Below are 26,588 nucleotides of genomic sequence, written 5' to 3'. Positions count from 1 at the left end.
GGACTTTCTCTGAGCCTCGGCATTGTCACCTGTAAAATGGGAGTGGTACTCCTTGCCCTGTCTCCTCCAGGGGTTCTTGTGAGGAGCAAAGGCCCCTGGGGAGGTCCTCACTTGGGTTCATCATCTTCTCCCAGACTCCTGGGGGCTCCATGGGGGCGCTGCAAGGGGCCTGCAAAGGCCCTGGTCATAGACCCATGTTACAGAACATGGGAACTGGGCTCTTCCTGCCTTGGTTTTAGCCAAGAACTGGCAAGGCGAGAACACACCCCAGGGCAGCGAACTGCCCGGCTTTAGTGGGGTGTTAGATGGCCCGTGTGGGCCTTGCAAAGGAGGGGGCCTCCATCCTGCCTCCAGGGTAAGTGTGGGGAAGCTGACCTGTGACTCCTGGGGCTGGCAGTTCACCCCCAGGCTGGCACCAGGCCCGTTCCTCAGGAAGCCTTACATGGGGAGACCATGGCAGGCCCGCTGCTGTGACAGTGTGACAGAGGCTTCGGTGGGGCAAAGGAGAAGAGTGCAACAGGCCAGATGTGGTCCTCCTTGACAGGGACCTTGGGCTAACTCACAGGGACTTTGCTCAGAGGAACACTGGAAGGGTAATGTGACCCCAAAACAGAGTCTGGGTGAGTGGACAAAACCCAGGGGCCGGGGTCTGTGAGCAGCCCAGCCAGAGGACGATGCGGCTGTGAGAGCCTGCAAGAAGGTGAGCTTCTGAGAGCTGCCGAGGGCCGAGCTCCAGGAAGAAAAGACCCCGCTGGAAGAGTAAGGCTGACCCGGTCAGTCAGGTTCCACCCTCCCTGCACACCGTCCCCTCTCTTCTGACCCCACGCCCCCTCACCCTGGAGGACTCAGGAAGCACAGCTGGTGGACAGGGCTGCAGGTATAAGATTCGCTCAAGACTAGGACTCTGCTGGAGCCCTTAGCTGGTAAGGGGCAGGGCCAGGTGGCCAGGGCAGGTCTGATTCTGGAGTTTGCGTCAGCTCTTGGGGAATTGAGCAACCCCGGGTCAACTGACTTGCTGCTTGTCCTGTTCCCAGGCCAAGGCCCTGCAAGTACCCGAGGTGGGGGCCCTCAATGCCTTCTCTTATTTATAAATAGCGAGAGAGGAAGGAAAGAAGGGAGGCCTGGAGGAGAAGGAAAAAGCTGAAAGCACGGCATCTGTGGTGCCCTCTGCTCTTCCGGCCGCCATTAGCACAGCCTTCTTTGGGGATCTTCATGGCTTTATTATTATTTTTTCATTTATAGAAAGAGACCGGGTCTTGCTATGTTGTCCAGACTGGTCTTGAACTCCTGGCCTTAAGCGATCCTCCTCCCTCAGCCTCCCAAAGTGCTGGGATTACAGGCGTGAGCCGCTGTGCCCGGCCTTCATGGCTTTTCAATGTTCCGGAGATCCCTTTTAGATGCCGTACCCTTGGGAAGAGGTCATGCTCCCAGCCTTCCCCAGGGGGTCCCCCCTGGGCAGGGATCTACCCGCTGAGAACGGAAGATGATGCGGTGGGGAGGTGGCCACAGGGAGAAGCTTCAGGCTTTAGGGGTCGAGATCAAGCCTTTACACAGAGCTGGAAGAACAGAGACTGTTCAGATCCAGGAAAAGTACCTACTGTGTGCAGGCACAGTGCTGGGCACGTTCATATACCTTCTCTTTATTTTATCCTAGCACTAACGCAATGAGGTCAGGATGATCCATTTTACAGATGCAGACATTGAGGCTTGGGAGATTTCGTGCAAATTGTCCAAGGTCATGCAGCCAGTGAGCGGCACTCCAGGAGCTGATGGCAGCAACATCAGCCTCTGTGCCCTCTGACAGTTTTGTACCCTGTGATCTTGTCCTGCTCCCTCATTTTACAGACAAGGAGCCCACAGAGGGGAGTGACTCTTCTGTGAACACACTGTGAGCAGGGGCAGGTGGTTCAGTGACTCTCCCAGGCAAAAGGGTCTCCAGGGTCTTAGGGCAGGGGCCAAAGCTGTGGGGAGGGGCAGAGGTATCTGCCCAAGGACCCAGGGACCCCCACACAGAGGAAACCCTCTTCAAGCAATGCGGAAACCACGTCATTTGCATGGCGGGTCGCGGGGCCCCTAGGGCGTGGTGGGAGGCAGCAGAGGCATTTGGGTCTCAACCTTGGGGGTTCACAGGAGCCCCATGGACTGCAGGGTGCAGCTACATCAGGCCAGGTCGTCACAGCAACGCCAGGGCCAGTGACAGCGGAGGCCCGTCTGCCGTCACGGAGAGGAATGGCATCTGCGTTAGGAAGGACTGACCACATCACAGGCAGGCAACCCGGGGGTGACACATCCCACTCCCGACTCGCTGCCTGTGATGTTGCTTTAGAAATGAGCTGGGGGCAGACAGGAAGACTGGGCTGGTATCCGGTTCTTGGAGCCAGGCTTTGTGCTAAATGCCAGGGTACAAAGACGCCGGGCATGGTCCCTGCCTGCAAGGAACCCTGAGTCTAATGAGAGACGCCCCAGCCTCTCCCACCGTCACCCTCCAAGGGGCCTGCTGATGTCGCCTGCTCCATCTCCCACGACCCCTCCTCCTCGCTGCCCTCAGCATCTCCTGCCAGCTGCAGGCTCCTTGGTCTTGGTTCCCAGCCTTCTGTCCCTTTCAGATGGACCTAAGCCCCCTTCCTACAATCAAGCCTGACTCTCCTTAAAAGCTTCCAGCGGCTGCCACCACCTGCGCAACCTCCTTAGCCCCTGCCAGCATCTCCCACCTGTATTCATCACTCACCTGTTGCTGTCACAACACAAAGCAGCACCTGGCTCCTCCGCCCCCTTCTCCATGCCCGTACTGCTGCTGCCTCTGCCCAAACGTCCTGACCCGCCACCCCCGACCTGGCAGTGCTGACTTCTCAGCTTCTTTCAAGAGTTCCCTCTGCCATCATTTCAGGGAGGTCAGAGGTCCCTCCTAGGGGCTCCTGTGACAACCCGGGTGCATCTCTATACTGCCCACACCCGACCAGTTTTGGTTAATTATTGGTTCCCTCGTGCCTCCCCGCAACCTTGACACCCTTGTATGGGCGCTGAGCCAGACACAGACACGTGGGCTTTGATCCCAGTTCTGCCATTCCCCCACCTCCACTTTATCATCTATAAAATGGCGACAGAAACAGTGCCCCCTTCACAGGGCTTTATGATTCATGAAGTCAGTATACGTGGCGTGCTTGGCACCGTGCCCGGCAGTGGAAAGAGCTCAGTGTCACCCGTGCTTCTGCTACTCATCACCCTACACACAGCCAGCACACAGCCCACAGCTGGCGTCTCATCGATGCCGAATTGCTCAACAGAAGCAAAGTTTTAATTTTCAATTAGTTGAAATGAGCTGGAGCTAGCATGAGAAATGGGCAGGAAATGGACTTACAAAGAGAGGGGGCGGCGTCCTCAGAGCAGCAGACTGAGTGCACCAGTGTTCAGGTGACAGCGGCTCACGGTCTCCTCCACCACCACCTCATTGGAGGGTGAGGTAGGCATAGCGCTCAGGAGCCTGGCCACCTGGGGTGGAGTCTTGGCTCTGCCTCTAGTGAGCTGCAAAACCCTAAGTACGTCAGTTAATCTCTGTGCTTCAAAGGCCTCTTCTGTAAAATGGGGATGATGTTCCCCTGCCCCCAGGTAGCTGTGACAAGGAAGGGCACTCTGTGTAGTTAATGCATCGGTCTCTTGCGCATTGCACCCAAGAAGCACCCGCTAAATGTCAGCTCTTCTTTTTTTTTTTTTTTTGGAGACAGAATCTCACCCTGTCACCCAGGCTGGAGTGCAATGGCGCGATCTCGGTTCACTGCAAACTCCGCCTCCCAGGTTCAAGCGATTCTCCTGCCTCAGTCTCCTGAGTAGCCAGGCTAAATGTCAGCTCTTAGCCCTCGGCTCTCTGTGCCCTGCCAGCATCTGCCCGCCCCTAGGGGAAGTGACAGAGAGCAGCCCTTTTGTTTTCACCTCACAGTCAACGAAGCCAAAGGTCTGGGAGGAGCTCGAGGGGTCTGGAGGCACAGGGGTAGCAGCGCCAGGCAGGCCCTGGAATCCTGCTCCCCCACACTAGTGGGGGTGCAGCCAATTTCATACCTGAGATGAGCAACCAGCCCTGCCCAGACTCCTGCCCAACCCAGCCGGGGTAACCAGCCAGCGGTGACCAGGACCGGGCTGGCCCTGTGACCGACTGCAAAAGCTCCAGGGACAAATGGGGTTGACACTGACCAGAATCAGTCCACTGGGGCCGGGCACGGTGGCTCCCGCCTGTAATCCCAGCACTCTGGGAGGCCAAGGCAGGTGGATCACCTGAGGTCAGGAGTTCAAGACCAGCCGGGCCAACATGGCGAAACACCATCTCTACTAAAAAAAATACAAAAAATTAGCCAGGCGTGGTGGGGCACGCCTGTAGTCCCAGCTACTTGGGAGGCTGAGGTGGGAGAATCGCTTGAACTCAGAAGGCAGAGGTTGCAGTGAGCCAAGATCACACCACTGCACTCCAGCCTAGGCAACAAGAGCAAGACTCCATCTCAAAAAAAAAACAGAATCGGTCCATTGGGCTCAGGGCTCAGGGCTCAGGACAGGCAGAGCTAAGGCCAGAGAGGCCGCATGTTGCAAAAAGCAGGTGGAGAGAGCATGCTCCTCACCTCCTATGTTCCCACCCTATATCCACGGCCCAGTCCAAAGGCTTCCTCCTCCTCCCTCAAGCCTCTCGCCCCTTCCTTCCTGTTCTCTGCTTCTTCACCAACCCAGAGCTGTCACCTGAACCATGTTGACAGCCTCCTCATGGGCCTCCCTGCCTCCAGTCTCTCCATCTCATCTGTGCTTCACACTGAGGCCACAGTGATCTTTGCCCTGTCACTCTCTTGCTCAAAAACTATAATGGCTCCCCACTGCCCCAACTCCTGATAGGAGTGTGTGTGTGGTGGCTGAGAGCATGGACACTGGAATAAGGATGCTGGCTTGAATCCACACTCCTCCCCTCTTAGCAGGCAGCCTTGAGGGGGTTTTGTTTTGTTTTTAAATAAAGGAGTTCATAGACCTCAGTCTTTTCATCTGTAGAATGGGACTGATAAATGCACATACCTCCTGGGGCTGATGGGAAGATTAAATAACACATGTAAAGTATTTAGAAAATTCCTCCCAAATTATAGTTGCTACAGTTTTCTCAATGTAATTGGTACTACTCCTCCATAAACTGGCCCTAAACTTACAGCCTCGTGTGCTGCTGTCACTGTCCCCAACAAACCTTTGGCTCCAGCTAGGACAGCTGGGACAGTCCTAACATTGTCCTCTAATATTCGGTTTTTGTTTTGTTTTGTTTTGCTTTTTTGAGACAGGGTCTCGTTCTGTCACCCAGACTGGAGTGCAATGGTGCGATCTCAGCTCACGGCAACCTCCGCCTCTGGGGTTCAAGTGATTCTCATACCTCAGCCTCCCAAGTAGCTGGGACTACAGGTGCACACCACCACGCCTGGCTAATTTTTTTTTTTTTTTTCAGTAGAGACAGGGTTTCACCATGTTGGCCAGGGTGGTCTCCAACTCCTGACCTCAAGTGATCCGCCCGCCTTGGCCTCCCAAAGTGCTGGGATTACAGGCGTGAGCCACCGTGCCCGGCCTGTCCCCTAATATTCTTTCCTCCATATCTCTCTCCCCACACCATTCTCCTCCCTGTAGCCACTCATCCTAAACCCGCCTACCTTTCAGGGCTCAGCGGTTAGGAGGTTCCCCGTGTGGGCCTGGAGAAGGGCAGAATCAGGAAGGGGACAAGAAAAGACCAGGGCAATGACCAAAGGACCAAGCCACGACAGGAAGGAAATTGAGCCAAGGGGTGGGAGGGGTGATGTCCAGGGAGAATGGGATGCAGGAGTGGGGCTTGAGGGAGCTGGGGGCCAGGACAGGAAGGAGCAGGATTAGGGGCTTGCGAGGCTCAGGAAATGACAGCAGGAGCTGCTGGTGATGGGGCCACAGGAGCCTGGGGCCTCTGTGAGTTGCAGCCAGAAACTGGGGCTGGGGTCAGCGAGAGGAGGGGCCAGCAGGGGCACCCAGGGCACTGGTGGGGGTCCCGCTAACTGAGGCAAAGGACCAGAGCCCTTCCCCAGGAGTTCACAATCAAGTCCACAGCTGGACCACACCTGGGCCTTCTGAGCTGGGTGACGTGGCAGTGCAATCTGCACTCCACCCCCTGCCCAAAGCCACTCACTCCTGCTGGGACCAGGGAGGTCCTTGCTAATCTCAAGTGACAGCTGGGGCCACCAAGGTTCAGAAAGGAGAAGGGAATTGGCCAAGTTCTCCCGGAAGCAGAGGCCGGGCCAAGATGAGGCCTCAGACCCCTGACTCCCAGCCCCAGGCCCCGCCCACTCCCACGGCCTCTGGCCTTGCTCCTGAAAGACCTTCAAGAAGGCCTCCCGCTGACAGCTCGGAAGATGTCCTCCCCCCTCCCTGTCCACAGCCCGCCTGCCTCCAAATCCCCTCCCGCTCTGCTCTCCCACTCAGGCGCACTGATTCTCTGAACCTGTGGCCACATCAGTCTCACTAGTGCAGGGCCACGCTCAGACTGAAGCAGACGGTGGGCCACTGTCTGGACAGCAAAGGAAAACAAACAAATGCTCCTGGTGATTTCTGCGCTGTCTCCGGTCAGAGTGGCTGGGTCAAACCTGAGCCCCAGCTCCGAAAGGGACCCACAGAGTAGAGATCTGCTAGGCCTCTCAAGGAGCCAGTACATCTGAAAGAGATTCAGCCTGCAGCCCTCGAAGTCAGGTTACACTGTCTGTTTTCCCAGCAGAACATGCCCACTAGTGTCCAAAAGAGGGGGTAGGGAGGGCAGCTGGCCCTCCTGGGGCCTGAGAAGGGGCTCTGCAGCCCCCCTCCAAACACCCAATACTTGCTGTGAACTAGCCAGCTAACAGGTCTCCTGAATCCAGCAACAGAATCAATAATCTAGCAACCATGAACCTCCAGGGTGACAATTCCAACCCCTCCTACTTTTCAAAGAAGAAATGGAAGCTGGGCGCAGTGGCTCACGCCTGTAATTCCAGCACTTTGGGAGGCCAAGGCGGGCAGATCACTTGAGGTCAGGAGTTCGAGACCAGCCTGGCCAACATGGTGAAACCCCATCTCTACTAAAAATACAAAAACTAGCCGGGTGTGGTGGTGCATGCCTGTAATCCCAGTTACTTGGAAGGTTGAGGCTGGAGAATAGCTTGAACCTGGGAGGCAGAGGTTGCAGTGAGCCAAGATCACGCCACTGCACTCCAGCCTGGGCAACGGAGTCAGACTCCATCAGAAGAAGAAGGAGAAGGAGAAGGAGAAGGAGAAGGAGAAGGAGAAGGAGAAGGAGAAGGAGAAGGAGAAGGAGAAGGAGAAGGAGAAGGAGAAGGAGAAGGAGAAGAAGAAGAAGAAGAAGAAGAAGAAGAAGAAGAAGAAGAAATGGAGTCTCAGAGATGCAGAGTGGCTTGTCACAGCCCACAGGAAAGACAGGCTAGATGCAAGGGCAGAGCCAGAGCCCTGGGATGCGCCGCCAACAGCCCTCCCCCCGCACTCCCCCCTGCACACTTGGGGCTCACGCTTGGGGCAGAAGTCAATGATCTCTTCCAACCCCCCATCAGCGAACAGACACTTCCTCCTCCGGGGCTCACAGCCAAGTACCTCAAACCACAGTGACATCACTGCCACCTGTGACATCACTACACGCCACAGTGGAAAAAGACTGTGGGTCCCAGAGAGGTGGGTCCTGAGCATCAGAGCCCCAGCCCCGCAGTCAGCTACTCAGCAGAGGTGATCAAGGCCCAAAGCCCTAGGCCTGGAAGGGGGCAGGACTCAGAACCGGGTCAGAGCAGCCTGCACCCATTACCAGCGACAAAGGGCTTCTTCCAGGAAAACGCCCTTCCTGCTCAAGGCTTCCTTGAACCTGTGGGTTCCCAGACAGCAGGCTCTGCAGCGCCTGCCTACAGTAAGGACTTTCCTACAGTGTGGGGAAGGGGAAAGGATCTAGCTCCCGAACTTGAAAAGGTGCCACCTAGGTACCAAGGGGCAGAGAGGCAGGACATCCACAAACCCCAGTTCTGCCTAAGGAGCTCCACCATGTCCTTCATGAAGGCTGAAAGGCAGCCGTGAATTCTTGATGGCCCTGGAGCCTGAGTCAGGAAATCAATCCACCCAAAGCAAGTGAGATTGAGGTCAGCAAGAAGAAGAGAAGCTGGGGAACCAAGATATTGACAGTGGGGAGTCCTGGGCTCTCCTTCCTGTAGACTTTTATATACCCCACCCCCAATCTGTGGCCTTTGTCAAGTATACTCAAAGCCGACACTTCCCCAATATTCTAGGAAAGCATTGGAACCAGGGTTGTTAGGTTTCATAGATAGGGATGCTTAGGCCCAGAGAGGTTAAGTAACCCAAGCAAGGTAGCACAGCAAGCCAGTGACGGTGCTCAGATGGGAACTGTGATCTCCCAACACCCAAGTCAGTGCTCCTTCCTCAGAGCCATGCTGTCTTAGAAGTCACTTGGAGGCAGGAAAATGGACAGCATGATCTCAGAAGAGCCCCCATAGGGCATCCCCTTCTCAGGGTCACAAGTAAACAGAACCTTCAGCAGCACAGAGGTTGGAGATGGAAGAGGTTTTGGAGATGGCCTGGAATCTTCCCGTGCCCATCTTGCAAACTGAAGCCTTGTGCACTCTCTCTGTGCTTCACCAAATGTACCCTTCACTCATCCCCAAAACACACAGCACCTGTTACTCACTAAAAGGGGTGGCAAAGGGAGGGGAGGGGATATCCTGACCCCACAGCCTTTGCCACAATACAGTGTCCTAAGACCAGGCTGTCAAGCAGTGGGTTTGAGAGCCCAGCCAGGGGGCACTGGGGCAGAAGCACAGACAGGAAAAGGCAGGGAGGAAAGAAGTTGCTTTCTGAGATGATGGGCAACAAAGCCACTTAGACAGGAACTCTGGGCAACTGCAGGGCTGCCACCCAAGCTTCAGGGCCCTGGGGCTCAGAGCAGACAGTCTGACTCCACAGGGGTCCCCACCTAGGCCCGAGCACCACCCCATGGCCCAGAGAGTCGGGTCAGACCTGCAAAGCCACCAATGGCTCAAATAGCTGCCAATGCCAGGATTAGAAAGCACTTTTAATCCTGACAGCCAGCCCGTGAGGCTAGGATTACTCCCATTTTACAGATAAGAACACAGAGGCTCCGAGGGATAGAAAGACTTGCCCAGGTCACACAGCCAGTAAAACAGCAGAGCAGCGACTTGAGGTTTATCTGATTCAGAGGCCGGGGCCTTTCCCCAGAGTCATCAGTGCTGCTTCCCTGTGGCCAGACGAGGGTCCAGAACGGGGAGCCACAGCGCCTCTCCTTTGTTCCTGTTCATCCCCGGCACCCCAAACCCCAGCTTCCCTCCTTGCCCGCTTCTGGGTAAATCACATGCATTCTGGGGCCCTGAGTCACCGTCAGTGAGTGGCCCCATCCCTCACTACACGAGGGATGTCGAGGGGGTGAGCAATTTGGGGAGAGGACCCCTAACCTCAGCAGACACCACTCAATGGGAAGAGGAGCCCAGAAAAATACCCCAAGAGATGGAGGCAAACAGAACCCCACCCTGCCACCACTGACTTTTCAAACCCCCGTCTCATCTGTAAAACAGGGCCATTATCAAGGTCAAGGTCAGATGAATATTTTTTGAACACTTACTATGTGCCAGGCACTGTCCTAGGCCAGTGGTTCTCAATCAGGGGCAATCCCCCAACCCCAAAGGACACTTAGCAATATCTGGAGATATTTTTGTCACGAGGGAGGGTGGCGCTACTGCCATCCAATAAGTAGAGGCCAGGGATGTCGCTAAACATCCTACAGCTCACGGGACAGCCCCACAACAAAGAATTAAAGTCAGAGGCACTGACTGAAAAACCCTCTTCTAGGCTAGAGTCTACAGTGGTGAATGAGTCCCTGTCCTCACGGTACTTACAATCTTGTGGGAAGACATAATAAAAGTGAAATAAATAGAATAGGTCAAGAGCATTATACAGGAATACAAAGCAGGTCAGGGAGTGAGAGTGCCTGGCAGGGAGCACCTACAGGCAGGATTGTCTACTTCAGCAGAAGGAAGCGAGGGAAGGAGACCAAGAGACGTCAGCAGGAGGAGTATTGGAGGTGATGGGGAAAGCAAGTGCAAAGGCCCTGGAGCAGGTGTGTGTGCAGCACATCTGAGGACAGAAAAGCATGGCTTAAAAGTGAGAATGGGGCTGGGTGGGGTGGCTCACGCCTATAATCCCAGCACTTCGGGAGGCCGAGGCAGGTGGATCACTTGAGTTCAGGAGTTCGAGACCAGCCTGGCCAACATGGCAAAACCCGGTCTCTACTAAAAAAAAAAAAAAAAAGGAAAAATTAGCCGGGCATGGTGGCACACACCTGTAATCCCAGCTACTTGGGAGGCTGAGGTGGGAAAATTGCTTGAACCCAGGAGGTGGAGGTTGCAGTGAGCAGAGATTGGGCCACTGCACTCCAGCCTGGGTGACAGAGTAAGACTCTATCTCAATAAAAAAAAATTAAATAGAAAAAAAGAAGAAGAAGTGAGAACGGGCCAGGCACAGTGGCACATGCTTGTAATCCCAGCACTTTGGGAGGCTGAGGCGGGAGGATCACTTGAGGTCAGGGGTCCAAGACCATCCTGGGCAATATGGTGAAACCCCGACTCTACTAAAAATACAAAAAAAAAAAAAATTAGTTGGGCATGGTGGTGCATGCCTGTAGTCCCAGCTACTCTGGAGGCTGAGGCAGGAGAATCGTTTGAACCCAAGAGGCAGATGGAGACTGCAGTGAGCAGAGATGTCGCCACTGCACTCCAGCCTGAGCAACAGAGCAAGACTCCATCTCAGAAAAAAAGTAAGAAGTGAGTTGGTGTAGAGTCGGGTGTAACATACATGCCATGGCTCCGGCAAAACTCTTCCCCTTCCCACGCACAACCGTCCCTGCTACTCCTCCAGAAAACATTGCATAGTAAGGACCATAAAGCGTCACCCAGCCGTGGGGAGGGACAGTGCTACGGGGAGCCACTGTGCCAGGTGCCAGGATGGCAGGGTCACCTCTGACGTAAGAATGCCCGGCAGGTTCTCAGCCTTTCACACCCATGGCTCTGTGACAAAGGCCAGGCAGGGAATACTTTCCACAACCACAGATGAGAACATAGGCTTACTAGCTCAGCTAAGCTCATAAGGGCAGTTGGGACAGAGCCCAGGTCTGTGAGGTCTGTGACCTATTGGTAGTGTAGCTCCTAGAGGATTGGAGCTGGAGTCATCTTGAGGTCCCCAGAGCCAGGCACTGGGCTGGGCTTGGACTAGGTGTGTCCATGAACTTTGGGGAATGAATGAATGAATGAATGGCCCTGCCTCAGGGTGCCTGGCCACCTACCCATTGCCCTCTGAAGACGTGCCTGACCAACAGACCACACCCTCAGTCAACACACAGGGTCCCCACTGGGATTTCAGACAGAGGGCAAAGAGACAGAGACGTGGTGGAAGGAGGGAAGAGCCCCCAGGGCCAGCAGGTACCCCAGATCACCCAACTCCTCTTTGACATCCAGCCTGGGAGCCCCCAACCTCTCCCCTAACCCAAACTGGCCCCAGGCCCTGGGTGATGAGGAGGCAAATAGTGGCACCTCAGCACCAAGACTTCCAGGGGTAGGTGGGCCAGGCCCATCAGGCAGAGACCCCTCATCCTCCTCCCCAGACAGCCCAGACCCTGCTCATCCCCATCAGAGGGCACCAAGCACTCACCTACTGCCAGGTTTACTGGCATTTCTTTGTCAAATGAATAAATGGCTAAATGAATGAATGATGTTTTCCATACCAGCTGGCAAATAAGACTTTTAAACGGGGCAAAAGCCCTGCTGGCAGTGAGTCGGCTGCGTCCATGGCTAGCTCAGGTCTCCTGGGGGCTTCTTCTGCAGCTCAGTTGACTTCCATCCTGAGAACCCACTGTGTGTGAGGGCCTGGCTGGGAGCATGAGTGCAGATACGGGCACGGGGAGGGTGCAGTGAAAGGAGCTTGGGAATCAGGCAGACCTGCATTCAAATCCCACCCCCAGCTCCCCGGCCCCCAGCTCTGTGATCCTGGGAAACGCCTCAGTTTCCACATCTCTAAAGACAAACGGCACCACCCACCTCTTGGGAGTTGCTGTAAGGGAGGTTTCAGTGAAATTTTGTGACAAAGTACCTAGCCCAGTGCCTGGTGTTTAGTGGGTGTTCAGAAATCAGGAGCTATGGCGATGCTACTGATGAGAAGGAAGAGGAACCCACAGTTCTGGCCCTGAAGACACCTTCCATCCACTGAGGGGGATAAAACACAGCTAGATTAAAAAGCAGAATGCAATCTGTCCTCAAAGGGAACAAAAGGGCCTGGGAGTTCGAAGAGAAGATCAAATCCAACTGAGAATGCGGAAAGGCTTTCCTGGAGAGAATGGCATTTGCAGAAGGCCTTGAAGGATAGGGGTAAGAAGTGTCCCTTGGAGAGGGGATGGCACGGACAATGCTTTTTGCACAATGACACACACGATGACCATCATCAGTTCTACAGAGGCGGGGGAGCACATGTGCAGGGAGGCGCGAGGAAGAGTTCAGGTACCTTACTCTGGCCTGGGATCTCCAGGGGAGTTTCTGCCTCAACCATTGGGAGCCACAGGAGGCTCCCCAGGCAAACAGAGAGGTGCCTCATGCTTGAGAAGGGTCTCTCTGCCAAGGATCAGCGGGAGAGGGGGCAGGGCCGGGAGACCAGCTACAAGGCTGCGGCAATAGTCCGGGTGGGGTCGTGGGGAGCAGGGATGAGGGAGGAGGGAATATGAGCTGCCGCAGGAGCTGGTCAGGAAGGGAAGGAAGTGGGAGGGAACCTCCTCCAGCTACTCCAGGACTGCAGCCTGGTGTCCTGCTGAGCCCTGTGCCTGACACCCCTCTCCCATCCAGGGGCTCACATGACCCCAGAGTTCACCCAGGCAGGCCCAAGCTCAGCGGCAGGAAGACCCCCTCTGAGGCCAGAGTATATGGCATGACCCCAAAGTCAAGCTGGGGACCACGGTCGTCCCCATTCACACTCGGCCCTAGAGTGGGGACTCTCCTGACCCAAAGGCCACCCAGGACTTACTCTGGGGCAGTTCTCCAGGACCCACTCCTGACACCCACTGTCGGTGAGTCAATTCTAGTCTGACAGCCCCCATCTTCCACCCACAAGAACTGGACTCTCTGGCCTCAGATCAACAAGTCACCTTATGTCACCACAGAAGCCAGTGCCACCTCCCACCTTCCTCCTCGGTCAAGATGTCAGATGGGGGCAGATGGGCCATGTGTCCATCAGGGGCGGCTCTGAGGAAGGATGAACGCCCACCTTCCCCGCAGCCTCAGGGCACAGGGGCCGAAGGCAGGAGAGGCCCCCTTTGGAGGAAGAGTTCCCCCCAGACCCTTCCATGAAATACAAGTTCTCTGAGCCTCAGTTTTCCTTCTCTAAAAAATGGTTTATCTTATCTTACCAAACCATGGAGACAGTAAAACAAAAATGGGGTTATCCTATGTTACCAGACCAGGAGACAGTCAAAAACAGGCAAAGGGTGCACAGTCCCTTGTACGCCCGTTGCTACTGTGGGAGTGACGTTCATATTGAATAGGAGCCCTAGGGTTTCTGCTGTCTCCATTTTCCTGCGGCCCCCGGAGACTTCATTTGCCTTGCTCGATTACCAGCCCAGACCTCCCTCGCTTGCCCTGTCCCCAGAGGCCGCAGAAAACAGACTCTGCAGTAGCCCCCGGACGCATCGGAGGAAGCAGACAGGCAGCTCGCCCTCCAGCTGTGCCCTCAGTGGACCTGACACACACCTGGTCCTGCTCTTCAGACACAGGACCCTGGTATTTCTAAGAAATCGGAAAACCGTCGCCCAGAGGAAAAGGAAGTCTTTTGAAGAGGGTGCCCGGCGTGGGCAGTGGGGCAGCGCCCCGGCACAGCCCCTTCTCCACCGCGTGGGAGGGAAGGGCTGTCGCGGCAGTCGCCGGGGTGAGGGAAGAGGGGTCCCGGGTCTAGCGGGGGTCTGCCCAGGACCCGCTGCTCAGCCCCAAATGCCCCGGCCTGCGCTCGCGGAGGAACCAGGGTGCGCCCCTGTCACGACGCGGGTAAGAGGGGCTTCGGGGGCCAGAGTTGTGCCCCGAGCGCACGTGTGCCGGGCCCGGAGTCCCCAGCGGGTCCCCAGAGGCGCGCGTGTCTGATGCGGATGGGGGGCGGCGACTGGGACTCCCAGCCTCCCAGCCCGTGACAGCGCCCCGGGAGAGCGCGGCCCGGGCACCCGAAGGCTGCGCACCAGCCGGGTGGACATGCGGGGCGGCTGTCCCCCGTGGGCCGCGCGAGTCACCCACCTGGGCGGGCAAGGCGTGCGCCGCAGCCCAGAGCTCCAGTCCGACGGCCAGCGCGGCCCAGACGGCGACGGGCGCCATGGGTGCGGGCGGGGTCCGGTTGCCCCCTGCCCTCGCGCCCTCGCGCCCTCGCAGCCCAGCGCCTTCTCTCCAGGCTCCGCTGCGCTCGCTAGCCCTCGACTGAAAGCGAAAGCCCGCGCCCCAGCGGGCCAGAGGCCAGGCGGCGGGGCGGGGCGGGGCCAGCCGGCCTTGGACACGCCTCCCCCACGCCCCTCCCCAGACGCTGCTGGGCCTCCGACCCGACCACTCCAGCATCGCTGGGCCGATACCTCCAGCGTCACTCCCAGCACTCGGGTGACCCCTCAACCTCCTCCTATCGTCCCCTCCTCTTCGAATCACCATCTCCACCTGCCCGGCCTCCACCTGCCCGGCCTCCACCTGCCCTCCCAGCTCCCACAGGCTTCCCTGTCCCGTGAGGGTGAGGCACTAATTTGGAAAAACATCCCCCAAAGCTGACAGCTGCTTTAGGGGAACCAAGAGAATTCTAGATCATTCACTTATTTAGACTCTATTTTAAATATATTTAATTCTTATTTTTTAATTTTTTTTGAGACAAGGTCTCACTCTTTCACCCATAGCTCACTGCAGCCTCCAACTCCTGCGCTCAAGCGATCCTCCCACCTCAGCCTCCCGAGTAGCTGGGACTACAGGCTCGGGCCACCATGCTAGGCTGATTTCTTTATAGAGATGGGGTTTCGCCATGTTGTCCAGGCTGGTCTCGAACTCCTGAGCTCACGTGTTCTTCCCACCCTCAAGTGATCTTCCCGCCTCTGGCCTCCCAAGGTGCTGGGATTATAGGTGTGAGCCACTGCACTCGGCCTGTTTAGACTCTAGAGCCAGACCACCTGGGTCTGGATCTCTGAACTGACCTCATAGGACTATTCTAAAAATTTAAAGATATGTAATATACATAATGCAGTCTGTACTTTATATATACTTAAGTAAGTATCTACATATATAACAATAGGCATTTATAAATCTTGGCTGTTGTTACTACTCTTCGCGTGTTCATTTATCCTTAAACACGCATCCAGCCTTCTCACAGGGAGAAGACTCTGCACTTCCCTGCTCAAGTCTCCTGCCCAGGCAGGGGGCAGATGAACAGAGGCTGGGAGAGAATGTCACCAGGGAAGCTGCAGGGCCCTGAGGGGCTGCTGAGACCAGGCCCAGGAGAGCTGGCTTCCCCAGGATTTACATCATGACCGAGCACCCATTCCAGCTGCAATCTGTCCCCCCATCCCCACTTTGAGTGCCAGCCCTAATACAGGGCCAGCCCTGCGGGGCCAGAGCACATTCCTCCAGCCCTGGATTACGGGGGTCCTAGCCCCCAGCACATAGGGCATTTCTAAGGGTTGGGGTGGGCTGGGTGGCAGGAGGCTATTCTGTTCCCTGTTTCCTCACTGCAGGCTGCCTGAAGAGGTACAGAGACCCTTGCTCCCGGCCACCAGCCCCACAGTGGAGCCTGCAAGGATGGTGCTTCTAGGTGCTGAGTGCTGAGTGAGAAACTGGGAAGTGACTCCCTGGGGATGGAAAACCCCACCTCCTGACCAGGAGGCTGGGAAATCACCTGGTTTCCACATGTTTCTGTGACATGGACCACGCTGAGGGTGTGGCTGGTATGACCCACAGCCTTAACTCTGCAGAGCCGCTGGACAGACATGCAGAGCTCTTCTGGCCCTTATGAGAATGCCTAGGAGCAGCTCCAAGGACTCCTTGATCCCTAAAATAGAGCTGAAGGCAGGAGGGAGATGTCACCTCGTGGAAGCAGGGGACAATAGTTCTCTCTAGTTGTCCCCCACACACCTCAAGACCAATGGGACCAACAGACTGTCTGCACCCCCAACCCTCAACAACCGGCTCCTCCTGCCAGTTTCCCTATCCCAGTGAATGGCACCATCACCTCCTGAAGGTGGGGATCCTCCCAGGCTTAGGTCCCATCCTGGGAACGAATTCAAGCTTAATCTCTATGCAACATGGGGCTTCTCCCCTTCTCCAGGCCGACCCAGGCTTGAGAGCAGGCGACTTCTCTCTGAACTCTGCCAAGTGCAGTTCTTGACTCCAGGGTCAGGCCCAGGGGTGAGGGTTTGGGAAGGAAAGGGCACAGTGTTCCATGGCAGCCAAAGTTGTCACCCATCTGGCACTGGGGACTTTGGGGACAGTTTCCAGCTCATTCTCTCTGGGGCTCTAGTGCAGGTTTCTTGGAGACCTTCTTACTGACTCCACTGGCCACAGCTCCCCAGCACCTGAAATGCCTGCACCTCCTGCTGGCCACAATTCACCACCTCCCCTTCAGCTCCTACAGGATGGTGTCCTCCTGGCTTCTCCTGCTGAGGCCGCCTTACCTACTAGGAAGCACTTTGGGATGGAGATGGTCAGGCTGGCCTCCTCGCTGGGGTCCATGGTTGCCTGCCCTTTGCTGCGCACCAATAGCAGCCCAGCTAACTCTCCGTGCACCCTGGCTCACTCCAGCAATGCTGGCTCAGGTCCATCCAGCCACAGGCTCCTTTATTAAGCACCTACTGTGTGCCAGCCCTGGAGTGCTGGGGACTCAGCAGTGGACAAAATAGACAAGAATCTTCCACCTGTGTTATGGTCCTTAAACTCCTGGGATATGAAGCCCCCAGATGGCTCCCTCGTATCCCCTCCTGCTTGGCCCAAGGTAAGAGGAAGTGCCCTCTCCGCTCCAAAGGGCAGCAGGGGGCACTCAGCCCAATGGTGACTCCTTCCCCAAAATCCTCTCTCTTGGCTTCTCCAACCCCACATCTTATTTAGGCTGGAGGTGGCGATGGCCAGTTCTGGCTGAACCAGTTTGTCTCTCCACATGACCTGCACACGTGGTCCGGGACTTTTTCTTCAGTGTGGGTGGGGGGGGGATTGATCTTGACACTCACCATATTGTACCTGCCACTGGGGAATATGGTAAAACTCAGGGACAGCAGAGGCAGTGTGGAGGGCCTGGACTCTCTCCTTCTGCCCCACAGCCCAGCCCTGGCTCTATCTCCCACCCATGATGCTCTGGGCCTCCCGATGAGGCTCTGGCCTTCAGGCTCTGTCCCCGAATCTGCCTTTCCGTGGAGTGGTCAGGCCCAGCCCTGCAAAGCATTAGCCACTCATGCCACTCTCCTAGCCCAGGATTTCTCAACCCAGAGGTCATTTTACCCCCTCTCCCTCCCCAGCACATTTGGCAATGTCTGGAGACATTTTGGGTGGTCGCAGCTGCAGGGGGCAGGGAGAGGTGCTGCTGGCATCTCACAGGTAGAGGCCAGGATTCTGCCAAACATCCCACAACGCTCAGGACAGCCTCATCCACAGAGAATTATCCAGCCCAAAACGTCCAGAACGCCAAGGTTGAGAAGCAACCTAGCCCATGGCTCTCCATGGCCTTTAGAACTGATTTCAGCCTCCTCCACAAGACACTGGAGGCCTTCATGTCCTGGCCCAGCTGGCCCACCAGGCAGAGCCCCACCACGAACCCCAGCTCTACAGGCCAACTCCCTGGGCATTCGGAGCAACCCTGAGTTCCCACCTCCATGCTTTTGTCCATGCAGGTTCCTCTGCCTGAGGTGTGTTTTCCTCTTTGTTTGTTTGGTGATCACCTACTTGTCCTTCCAGTCACAGCTCCACTCGTGCTCTCCTGTGAAACCACCCTTGACCACACCCCAGCAAGCTGGGCAGGATAACATGGTACGTCTACAGACTATTAGCATAACACTTACTCCGGTATTAGTTGCTTACACGGCCCTCGCCTCTCTTAGTAATTGTGATACTAGCGGTTATGGAAAGATGACTTACACACTTTATCTTGCACCAGGTGGGGGGCAAGCTTTATGGTATGCTTATCCAGCTAATACGGGGTACAGCGGGTTCAAACCTGGTTTGGTGGCCTCTCCATAGCCAAGGGGCTCTTCTCAGCATGGAGCTCTCACACTGCTGAACTGTGTGATACCCGAGGGTAGGGGGACTTGCTCTTGGTTCCCTCTATTTCCCTTGATTGAGTCCCTTCTTGTGCATCTCCTGTATGTTCTGGCCCAGGAGATACCTAACGGGGGGCTTGATAAAGTTGAAGTGAATAAGGACCAAATACAGGATGAAGGGTACGCAGGAGGCGATGAAGGGATGAAGACTTGAGAGAATGAATGAATGAATGAATGAATGGGTACATGGATGTCCGGGTCAAGGCTCAGGAACCCAGTCCAGCCCAATCACTCCTAGGCCCTGTATACCCAACCCAGACTCCCAAGCCATGCATCTGGTAGACTCCCAGCCCCACAGCGCAGAAAAGTCCCCATTTGCTCCTTGTTGACAACACAGTCTTCAAGCAGAGATGGAACTGTGGCCCTCAGGTCCTCAACTCAGGGGCTGCATGTGCAGAATCTGAGCTCTTGGCCAGACACTCCCTGGAGCCTCTCCTCACTTCCCAGCTCAGTCTACAGCCCTCAGAGGTCCCCTGACATCTCCCACCCCAGTAGGTGGATGACTGCACTCCTGCAAGCGAGGGTGGAAGAAGGCAGGGCCACGGGCAGGCCACGTGTGCGAGGACAGCCGGTCTGTCCACTGACAGTTATTGAACACCTACTGTGTACCGGGCATTCTAGTGGATCTTTTGGAGGAGTGGCTTTCCAGCTTCAACCAGCATAAGAATCATCTGGAAGGCTTGTGAAACATGCAGAGTCCTGGGCCCCACGCCCATGTCTGTTGAGGGCCTAATATCTGGCTTTTTAATGGACTCCTCAGTGACTGAGGGGCACCTGCTGAGAAACCGTACAGAGGGTTGAGGTGCAGCAGGTGCTGTGTGTGGCTGAGGGCAGTTTGGAAGGCTGAGCTGTGGTTGTGCTGGGAGGGGCTCTTTCCACCATGGGGAGGTCTCCATGCAATATTCTTTTTGGAGTGAGCTTTCAGAGCCAGCCACAAAGCCAACTCCTTCTGACCTGGCCTCAGGGTCCCAGTGGGAATCTATCTTACAGGGTTGCTTGGACAGCGGGAACCCTACTCCTTCCCTGCTTAAGGCTGGCCCACAGCCAGGGCAAGTAACCTTTTCTTGTCCCTCAGTCCTGCTTATCTCAGCGCCCTGAATGTGCCGGGCCAGCCCCTTGATGACTCATGTCCTAAAATCACGAACAGGAAGCAGCATTTGGTGTTAGCCACAGCTCTACAACTGCCTGCTTCATCTGGCCCTCCTACCGGTCCTCCTCCCTTCCCTGGGGCCACATCTTGGGCTGAGCTGGCCATACCATGCTGTGGGCTGGGGGCACCGAGAAACACCAGCTCTTGTCCCCATCTCCTTCCAAAGAAGAGGAGGGCCTGGGGGTGCAGCACCCCCTCTCTCCCAGTACTCAAAGAGGACCACAGGCAATTTGGGGAAGGAAGCCAAGAGAGCCTCCAGGCCTCCTTCTCCCCTTGCTTCACTAAAACCTCCCTGTTCTGAGTGGCCTCTTCCCAGGACTCAACGCCAGAATCAGTCCCAGACCTTCTGGAGAAGACCCTTGGTTTCTAAACCCAGCAAGTGGGACTAGCTAAGTCTCAGGAATCCCCATTCTAGCCCCCTTCCTGTGTGACCTTGGGCTAGTGCCTACCCCTCTCTGGGCTTCAGCATCCTCATGTGTGACATGAGGAGTTGGATTTCAGGGGAAGCAGGCTGGTTTCCCCCCATATGCAGCTCCACTTGGTGATGGCTGCCTAGGGCTCTGTGTTGAGAAGGACTCTGAGCCTGGGCTCTGCAGGAAAGGATGCAGGATGGAGCAGCCCGGTGTGCCCTGGGCGGGAAGGGGTTGGCCTCAGCACAAACACCTGGCCTTTGCCATCTCTGGATTAGACCAAGTGCCCCTCTTGTCCTGAAGTTGTGTGGAGTGGGGTGCAGATGTGTGGGGTGGGTGCACCAGATGTGTGCGGTGGGGCACAGCAGGGCTAGGCTTGACTCCAAACCCCTGCCTTTATCGGCACAAGGCAGGTCTTGCCTGACCTGTGGGAATGATTGCCCAGGTAGAGGGGTGCACAGTTTGCCCTTTATGCAGAGCCTTTTCCTGACAGGAAATTCTCCTTTTCATCCTACTGCAAAGCACACTGCTGTATTTTACACACAGCAGTAACATTTTTTTTTTTTGAGACAGGGTCTCACTCTGCCACCCAGGTTGGAGTGCAGTGGCGCAATCACAGCTCGCTGCAGCCTCAACCTCCTGGTCTCAAGTGATCTTCCCACCTCAGCCTCCTGAGTAGGTGGGACCACAGGTGCATGCCACCATGCCTGGCTAATGTATTTTTTGTAGAGACGGGTTTTCGCCATGTTACCCAGGCTGTTTTCGAATTCCTAGGCTCAAATGATCCTCCCACTTCTGCCTTCCAAAGTACTAGGATTATAGGTGTTAGCCACCATGCCCAGCCTTTTTTGTTGTTGTTGTTGAGACAGAGTTTCGATCTGTCGCCCAGGCTGGAGTGAAATGGCTTGATCTTGGCTCACTGCAACCTCCGCCTCCCCCAGCTTCAAGCGATTCTCCTGCCTCAGCCTCCCAAGTAGCTGGGATTACAGGTGCCCACCACCATGCCTGGCTAATTTTTTGCATTTTCTTTAGCAGAGACGGGGTTTCGCCATGTTGGCCAGGCTGGTCTCAAACTCCTGAGCTCAAAAGTGATCCACCCACTTCAGTAGCCTCCCAAAGTGCTGGAATTACAGGCATGAGCCACCATGCCCAGCCTTTTTTTTTTTTTTTAAGTTTTCTTCTAGTTACACTTTATCTTATTATTTTTAATAGTAGAGAAGGGTTTCACTATGTTGCCCAGGCCAGTCTCAAACTTCTGAGCTCAAGTGATCCACCCACCTAGGCCTCCAAAAGTGCTGGGATTACAGGCCCCACTACACCCAGCCTCCCAGCAGTAACCTTTTTAACCCTACATTATCTTTGTTTAGATTTTTTTTTTTAGAAATTAAAAAAATTAAAGCATCATATAAAAAATCCATATTCCACTACCCAGAACTGACCAGTGGTAACAGCCAGGGTTGCCCTCACTCCTCCCTGAGCCCGCTGGCCCGGCCGCCCTTGCTGGAACACACAAAGCATTCTCCCACCTTGAGGCCTTCGCACTGGCAGTTCCCTCTGCCTGGATCACCTTTCCTCCAGATACCTGCATGACTCACTTCCCCTTATCAGTCTCTGCTCAAATGCCACATCCTCAGAGAGGCATCCCTGGCACCCCGCCCCCGCCCCCCCGCCCCCAACCAAAATAGCTACTTTACTTTTCTTAATAGCAGTTGTTATAATTTCTCTTTGGATCTGTTTATCATCTGTTTCTCCCATGAAGGCAGGGAACTTGTCTGTTTTGTTTTGCTCTCTGCTGGGTCCCCAGCAGCTAAGAAGCTGCACAGATATCAAATATATATATATAAAATGTGTGTGTATATATATACATAAATTTTTTTTTTTTTTTGAGATGGAGTCCCGCTCTGTTGCCCAGGCTGGAGTGCAGTGGTGTGATCTCAGCTCACTGCAACCTCTGCCTCCTGGGTTCAAGTGATTCTCATGCCTCAGCCTCCCAAGTAGCTGAGATTACAGGCATGTGTCACCATGCCTGGACAATTTTTTTTTTTTTTTTTTTGAGACGGAGTCTCTCTCTATTGCCCAGGCTGGAGAGCAATGGCGCGATCTTGGCTCACTGCAACCTCCGCCTGCCAGGTTCAAGCCATTCTCCTGCCTCAGCCTCCTGAGTAGCTGGGATTACAGGCATGTGCCACCACGCCTGGCTAATTTTTGTATTTTTAGGTAGAGACGGAGTTTCACCATGTTGGTCAGGCTGGTCTCGAACTCCTGACCTCGTGATCCGCCCGCCTCGGCCTCCCAAAGTGCTGGGATTACAGGCGTGAGCCACCTCGCCCGGCCTTCAATTAGATATTTAAAAAAAAATAGTAGGCTCTCAGTAAACATATGTTGATTATTTTTTGCTTCAAATACTTTTATAATTCAAATGGAAATCCTTGACACCCAGCCAAAGTTGTAGTCCCCTTGATTCAGCCCCCAAAAGAGCAATTCCTCTGGGTTTGTGGTGTTTCTCACCAGTCCGTTTTCTGCTTCCACACACCAATGTAGAGTGTTATTCTAGATACACGCGTCTACATCTACACAAACGATGAAACACCAGGTGCGCCGTCCTGCCCCTTGCTTTTTTCCCCTCGGCTGTGTTTCTGAGAACTTTCCATATTGATGAGTTCAGATCCGCTTATTGTTTCTACCTGCTGCTGCTGCTACTCGGTGCTGCGCCTGCCCGGTGCCTGTCTCACACCTTGCTGCCCCGCTCCCCTGGAATGGGCCTTTGGGGTGTTTGCACTTTGGCTCCACTGCACACACTGAGATGCGCGTTCCTGCATCTGTCTCCCAATGCCCAAGGTTGAATGTTTCTCAAGGTCTTAAACCTGGAAAGTAGAACTGCTGGGCAGTGGCAGGCCGTGGGTTTGCATGTTTTCATTTTCACGGGGCCCTGCCAAATTCCTCTCAGGGGGCTGCACCCTGGACACTCCTGCCAGCAGCGTGTGAGAGTCCCAATCCCCACATCTGCAGCGGGGCGGGGGGCGTTTGATCTTGTCAGTGGGTTTCCTTTTACAGCCCTTTGTATTTTCAAAGGGCTTTCAATTCTCCCTTTCAATTCTTTTCAATTCTTTCAGCCTCATCGTGGCCCTGCCAAGTGAGTGTTACCCTTTCCAGGATCCTGGTCTCTCCACTTCTAACTCCCAACCCGTAACCCCTCCAAACCCACTCTCTGTCCCCCTTCCCCAACCCCCACTTTCCAAAACCCACACCCCACCAAAACCTCCCCATTTCACTGGTCTCTCCAAGTAGCAGCTGGAGCCATCTGTGGACCACAATTTTCTAGACAAAGTCTCAAACATAAGCAACAGCTGCCTTTCCACCATATATCCTATGAACTCTGGCCTCAGTTTCCCCACTGGCCCTGAGTTCCCCTCTTTTCCTCTTTACAAACAAGGCCACTCTGGCCTGGGGAGGAACGTGATTCCCCTCATCTGGTCCCTCCTCCTCCCACCCCCTTCCTCTTTTTTGTCAATAAACCTTAGGTATTTCAAAATTTGGGGGCGGGTCTGAATGGAATCTTTTTTTTTTTTTTTTTTTTCGTAACTTCTCTCTCACTCTCATATTTTGGACCTCAGGTACAGAGAGTTGAGTGAATCATACTGCACAGATCTTGCTGTACAAGGTTCCTCTCTGGCCTGATTTTTTTCCTCAATCCCTGTTCTCATCCTCCTCTGCACCTCTCCAACAATCAGTGTGTCCTTATAAAACATGTGGTGGCGTTTGCAGGTGTTTGAATTTCTCTGGAGTAGGACTGCTGGATCGGGGAGTATTTGTTTACCTATTTCACTAACACTGCCAGAAATTTCTCCAGGACTGTGTTCTTGATGTAGAAGCTGGTTTTTAAAAAAGAAAAGAGAGAATTTCTCCAGGATGACCACCCCAGTGATGCCACCACTGTCAGGACTATAGGGTTTCTACCACTCTCTTGCCCCCACACTCGTGATTAGCCAATGTTCTGATTTGGGCCGATCTGATGGGTGTGAAGTGGAGCCCGGTGTCATTTCATTTGCATTTCTCTGAATATCCGTGGGTTTGAGCACCTCTTCATTACTTGTTAGTCATTTGGGTTTTCCCTTCTGTGAACTGCCTATTCACATCCTTTGACCATATTTCTATTATTTCCTGTCTTTTTCTTGTAGCTTTGCAATAATTCCTTGCATGCGCTAGATATCAATCCCTTGTCATTTTTAGATATCACAAATACTTCCTCCACTCTGTCGCCTATTTGGTATCCTTGCTGATGGTGTCCTTTATTGTTGGCAAAAAAATTCTTAATTTTAATGCAATGGAATCCATCAATGTTTCGCCATTTGAATTGCATTTGAATTCCCTACTTATGGGTAATGAAAGAAAATATAGAAAAGTATCATCATGACCTATAGGTAGAGCTACTCATAGGTTATGAAGATACTTTTTTATATTTTTCTTTCATTAGCTTTATAATTTTCCATCTCATGTCTAGGTCTTTAATACACTGAGACTGTATATGGAGTATAAAGTCTGGAGACTAACCTTTATTTCTGTCCATAGAGTGAGCCAGTTTTTCCTAAACCATCAGCCAAACAGTCCATCCCTTTATTCTTTATCATAAATACCTGGTTCTGTCACTGAACAGTCTATTCTTTTTTATTTTTATTTTTTTATTTTTGTTTTTTGAGACAGGATCTTACTCTGTCGCCCAGGCTGGAGTGCAGTGGCACGATCACAGCTCACTACAACCTCTGCCTCCCAGGCTCAAGCCATCCTCCCACCTCAGCCTCCCGAGTAGCTGGGACCACAGGTACACACCACCATGTCCAGCTAATTTTTGTATATTTTGTAGAGATGGGGTCTCGCCATGTTGCCCAGGCTGGTCTTGAACTCCTAGGCTCAAGCGATCTACCCACATCGGCTTCCCAAAATGCTGAAATTACAGGCGTGAGCCACCATGCATGGCCACTTTTCTATATTTTCTTTCACTAGCTTTATAATTTTCCATCTCACATCCAAGTCTTTAATAATCAGGATTGTATATGGGGTGTAAGGTTTAGGGAGCCACCTTTATTTCTCTCCATAGAATGAGCCAGTCTTTCCAACCCCATCAGCCCAAGAGTCCATCCCTTCATTCTTTATCGTAAGTACCTGGGTCTATCGCTGAACGATCTATTCTGTTCCACTGGCCTTTTGTTCCTGGGCTAGTTTCGTATGGTTTTTATTATTATAGCTTTAGAGAACATTTAGTATTTGGTAGAGTGAATTTCCCTTGTTTGCACTCTGTTTTCAAAATGGACTAAATTATATTTGGTTTTTATGCTCCCTCATACCTTTTTTTTTTTTTTTTTTTGAGACAGAGTCTCTCTCTTGTTGCCCAGGCTGGAGTGCAATGGCGCGATCTCAGCTCACCACAACCTCCACCTCCTAGGTTCAAGCAACTCTCCTGCCTCAGCCTCCTGAGTAGCTGAACTACAGGCGTGCGCCACCACACCCAGCTAATTTTTGTATTTTTAGTAGAGATGGGGTTTCACCATTTTGGCCAGGATGGTCTTGATCTCTTGACCTCGTGATCCACCCGCCTCAGCCTCCCAAAGTGCTTGGATTACAGGCATGAGCCACTGTGCCCGGCCTCTTCCACATACATGTTTAAATCCATTTGCACAACTCCAGCTGTGATTTAATTGAGATTTCACTGAGTTGATAGGTGAATTGGGAGAACTGACATCTGTGCAACATTAATTTATCCCATCCACGAACATGGCATACGCTTCATCTGTTCAGAGCTTCTTTGTGTCTTTTAATAGTTTTCACTTTTCTCTGGGTGTTCAGGTGTGGCAGGGATGAAAGGTGTCAGCGTCCCTCCCTAACCTGTCACCTCCCTACCTAGGCCCCCATTTGACATTCACACTAACTCCAGGCAAGCCCAGTGGCAGGGCCTGATCATTCTATTTTATAGACCACTTTAAGCAACTCCCCCCAGTCCACACAGCCAGCAGAGTGCAGACACAGAAAACAGGACACATCTCTCTACAGTAAATCTCATTATAATCTCAAACCTCTGTTTCATGAAGGATTTGCCAGGCCCCAAGGCAAGCACTGCTAGTGCAGTTGTGTCACTCAACACAAAGAGGTTCCACTTCACAGAGGGAGAACCTGGGGTTCTTCATGCGCTCTGAACACAAGCCTTTCTCCAGGGCTGGCCCTTGGAAAAGGGTGAATTATCAGGAGCCTCTAGCTCCATCCTCCATTGCTCCATCACCGGCAGTCTATGCTCACCCTGAGCCAGCCAGCCCTAGGTCTGCCGGCAGCCCAGCCAGGCTGCAAAGGCCTCACCTGTCCTATCTCCCTCTGGCCTCTCCTAAGGCAAACAGCTTTCCTGAGCCTGTCTTCACCTCACCTTCCCCAGATGCTTCCTCCAAAGCCCTCCCCAGAGGTCTCCCACCTAGACCCCCAGGCAGTTCAGATACAAACAATCCCCCACAATGAAACAGGACCCCTTCCCATTCCTGATGCTGAATTGTCGTCTTTAATGGCTCAGCTGCAACCCCACTGCCTCCTTAACGCCCTCCAGGATCTCTCCAGCCCACGGGGTTCTCTTGCCCTGGCTGCAGGTGGTCTGGCATTGGAGAAAAAGCACTGGAATGAG

At 54.0% G+C, this 26,588-nt stretch overlaps 1 protein-coding gene, 1 long non-coding RNA gene and 1 other non-coding gene across 6 annotated transcripts in view, besides 14 other annotated features; all 3 read right to left on the bottom strand.

Annotated features, from left to right (window-relative positions):
* Positions 1–14,518, bottom strand: part of TNFRSF1B (TNF receptor superfamily member 1B) — a 42,230-nt gene extending 27,712 nt beyond the window's left edge. For all 4 annotated transcript variants that reach the window (XM_011542060.3, XM_047429422.1, XM_011542063.3 and 1 more), the window contains exon 1: positions 14,340–14,518. In XM_011542060.3, coding sequence (XP_011540362.1) covers positions 14,340–14,417 — 78 coding nt within the window. In that variant the 5' untranslated portion in view covers positions 14,418–14,518. The remainder of the gene's footprint in view (positions 1–14,339) is intronic.
* On the bottom strand, positions 1,200–5,330 carry LOC124903844 (uncharacterized). Its single transcript, XR_007065466.1, has 2 exons — positions 3,359–5,330; positions 1,200–1,556 (listed from the first exon to the last, which is right to left on the bottom strand). It is a non-coding gene; the product is annotated as an uncharacterized LOC124903844 (long non-coding RNA).
* Positions 1,642–2,609: an enhancer, noted in NCBI's record as "H3K4me1 hESC enhancer chr1:12238957-12239924 (GRCh37/hg19 assembly coordinates)". NCBI's record gives its function as "activates a minimal SCP1, AML or CMV promoter by ChIP-STARR-seq in primed H9 embryonic stem cells {active_cell/tissue: H9 hESC(primed)}" and the evidence as "EXISTENCE:reporter gene assay evidence [ECO:0000049][PMID:30033119]".
* Positions 6,062–6,403: a silencer, noted in NCBI's record as "fragment chr1:12235163-12235504 (GRCh37/hg19 assembly coordinates)". NCBI's record gives its function as "represses an EF-1alpha promoter that drives an FKBP-Casp9 reporter gene in an ReSE screen in K562 erythroleukemia cells {active_cell/tissue: K562}" and the evidence as "EXISTENCE:reporter gene assay evidence [ECO:0000049][PMID:32094911]".
* Positions 6,062–6,637: a biological region, named in NCBI's record as "Sharpr-MPRA regulatory region 6671".
* Positions 6,343–6,637: a silencer, noted in NCBI's record as "tiled region #6671; K562 Repressive non-DNase unmatched - State 5:Enh". NCBI's record gives its function as "represses a minimal TATA promoter and a strong SV40 promoter by Sharpr-MPRA in K562 cells {active_cell/tissue: K562}" and the evidence as "EXISTENCE:reporter gene assay evidence [ECO:0000049][PMID:27701403]".
* Positions 13,451–14,092: an enhancer, noted in NCBI's record as "H3K27ac-H3K4me1 hESC enhancer chr1:12227474-12228115 (GRCh37/hg19 assembly coordinates)". NCBI's record gives its function as "activates a minimal SCP1, AML or CMV promoter by ChIP-STARR-seq in naive H9 embryonic stem cells {active_cell/tissue: H9 hESC(naive)}" and the evidence as "EXISTENCE:reporter gene assay evidence [ECO:0000049][PMID:30033119]".
* Positions 14,133–14,362: a silencer, noted in NCBI's record as "silent region_285". NCBI's record gives its function as "represses an Ori minimal core promoter by ATAC-STARR-seq in GM12878 lymphoblastoid cells {active_cell/tissue: GM12878}" and the evidence as "EXISTENCE:reporter gene assay evidence [ECO:0000049][PMID:35858748]".
* Positions 14,373–14,682: a silencer, noted in NCBI's record as "silent region_284". NCBI's record gives its function as "represses an Ori minimal core promoter by ATAC-STARR-seq in GM12878 lymphoblastoid cells {active_cell/tissue: GM12878}" and the evidence as "EXISTENCE:reporter gene assay evidence [ECO:0000049][PMID:35858748]".
* Positions 14,471–14,566, bottom strand: MIR7846 (microRNA 7846). The gene has a single exon (NR_107000.1). It is a non-coding gene; the product is annotated as a microRNA 7846 (primary transcript).
* Positions 17,899–17,998: an enhancer, noted in NCBI's record as "active region_210". NCBI's record gives its function as "activates an Ori minimal core promoter by ATAC-STARR-seq in GM12878 lymphoblastoid cells {active_cell/tissue: GM12878}" and the evidence as "EXISTENCE:reporter gene assay evidence [ECO:0000049][PMID:35858748]".
* Positions 18,339–18,438: an enhancer, noted in NCBI's record as "active region_209". NCBI's record gives its function as "activates an Ori minimal core promoter by ATAC-STARR-seq in GM12878 lymphoblastoid cells {active_cell/tissue: GM12878}" and the evidence as "EXISTENCE:reporter gene assay evidence [ECO:0000049][PMID:35858748]".
* Positions 18,868–18,997: an enhancer, noted in NCBI's record as "active region_208". NCBI's record gives its function as "activates an Ori minimal core promoter by ATAC-STARR-seq in GM12878 lymphoblastoid cells {active_cell/tissue: GM12878}" and the evidence as "EXISTENCE:reporter gene assay evidence [ECO:0000049][PMID:35858748]".
* Positions 19,156–19,665: an enhancer, noted in NCBI's record as "H3K27ac-H3K4me1 hESC enhancer chr1:12221901-12222410 (GRCh37/hg19 assembly coordinates)". NCBI's record gives its function as "activates a minimal SCP1, AML or CMV promoter by ChIP-STARR-seq in naive H9 embryonic stem cells {active_cell/tissue: H9 hESC(naive)}" and the evidence as "EXISTENCE:reporter gene assay evidence [ECO:0000049][PMID:30033119]".
* Positions 19,508–19,647: an enhancer, noted in NCBI's record as "active region_207". NCBI's record gives its function as "activates an Ori minimal core promoter by ATAC-STARR-seq in GM12878 lymphoblastoid cells {active_cell/tissue: GM12878}" and the evidence as "EXISTENCE:reporter gene assay evidence [ECO:0000049][PMID:35858748]".
* Positions 19,666–20,175: an enhancer, noted in NCBI's record as "H3K27ac-H3K4me1 hESC enhancer chr1:12221391-12221900 (GRCh37/hg19 assembly coordinates)". NCBI's record gives its function as "activates a minimal SCP1, AML or CMV promoter by ChIP-STARR-seq in naive H9 embryonic stem cells {active_cell/tissue: H9 hESC(naive)}" and the evidence as "EXISTENCE:reporter gene assay evidence [ECO:0000049][PMID:30033119]".
* Positions 20,176–20,685: an enhancer, noted in NCBI's record as "H3K27ac-H3K4me1 hESC enhancer chr1:12220881-12221390 (GRCh37/hg19 assembly coordinates)". NCBI's record gives its function as "activates a minimal SCP1, AML or CMV promoter by ChIP-STARR-seq in naive H9 embryonic stem cells {active_cell/tissue: H9 hESC(naive)}" and the evidence as "EXISTENCE:reporter gene assay evidence [ECO:0000049][PMID:30033119]".

This window comes from Homo sapiens, chromosome 1 (assembly GCF_000001405.40).
Source record: "Homo sapiens chromosome 1, GRCh38.p14 Primary Assembly".
NCBI classification, from domain to species: Eukaryota; Metazoa; Chordata; class Mammalia; order Primates; family Hominidae; genus Homo; species Homo sapiens.
Note: the sequence above shows the minus strand (reverse complement) of the source record. Positions and strands in the feature narration are given on the sequence as shown.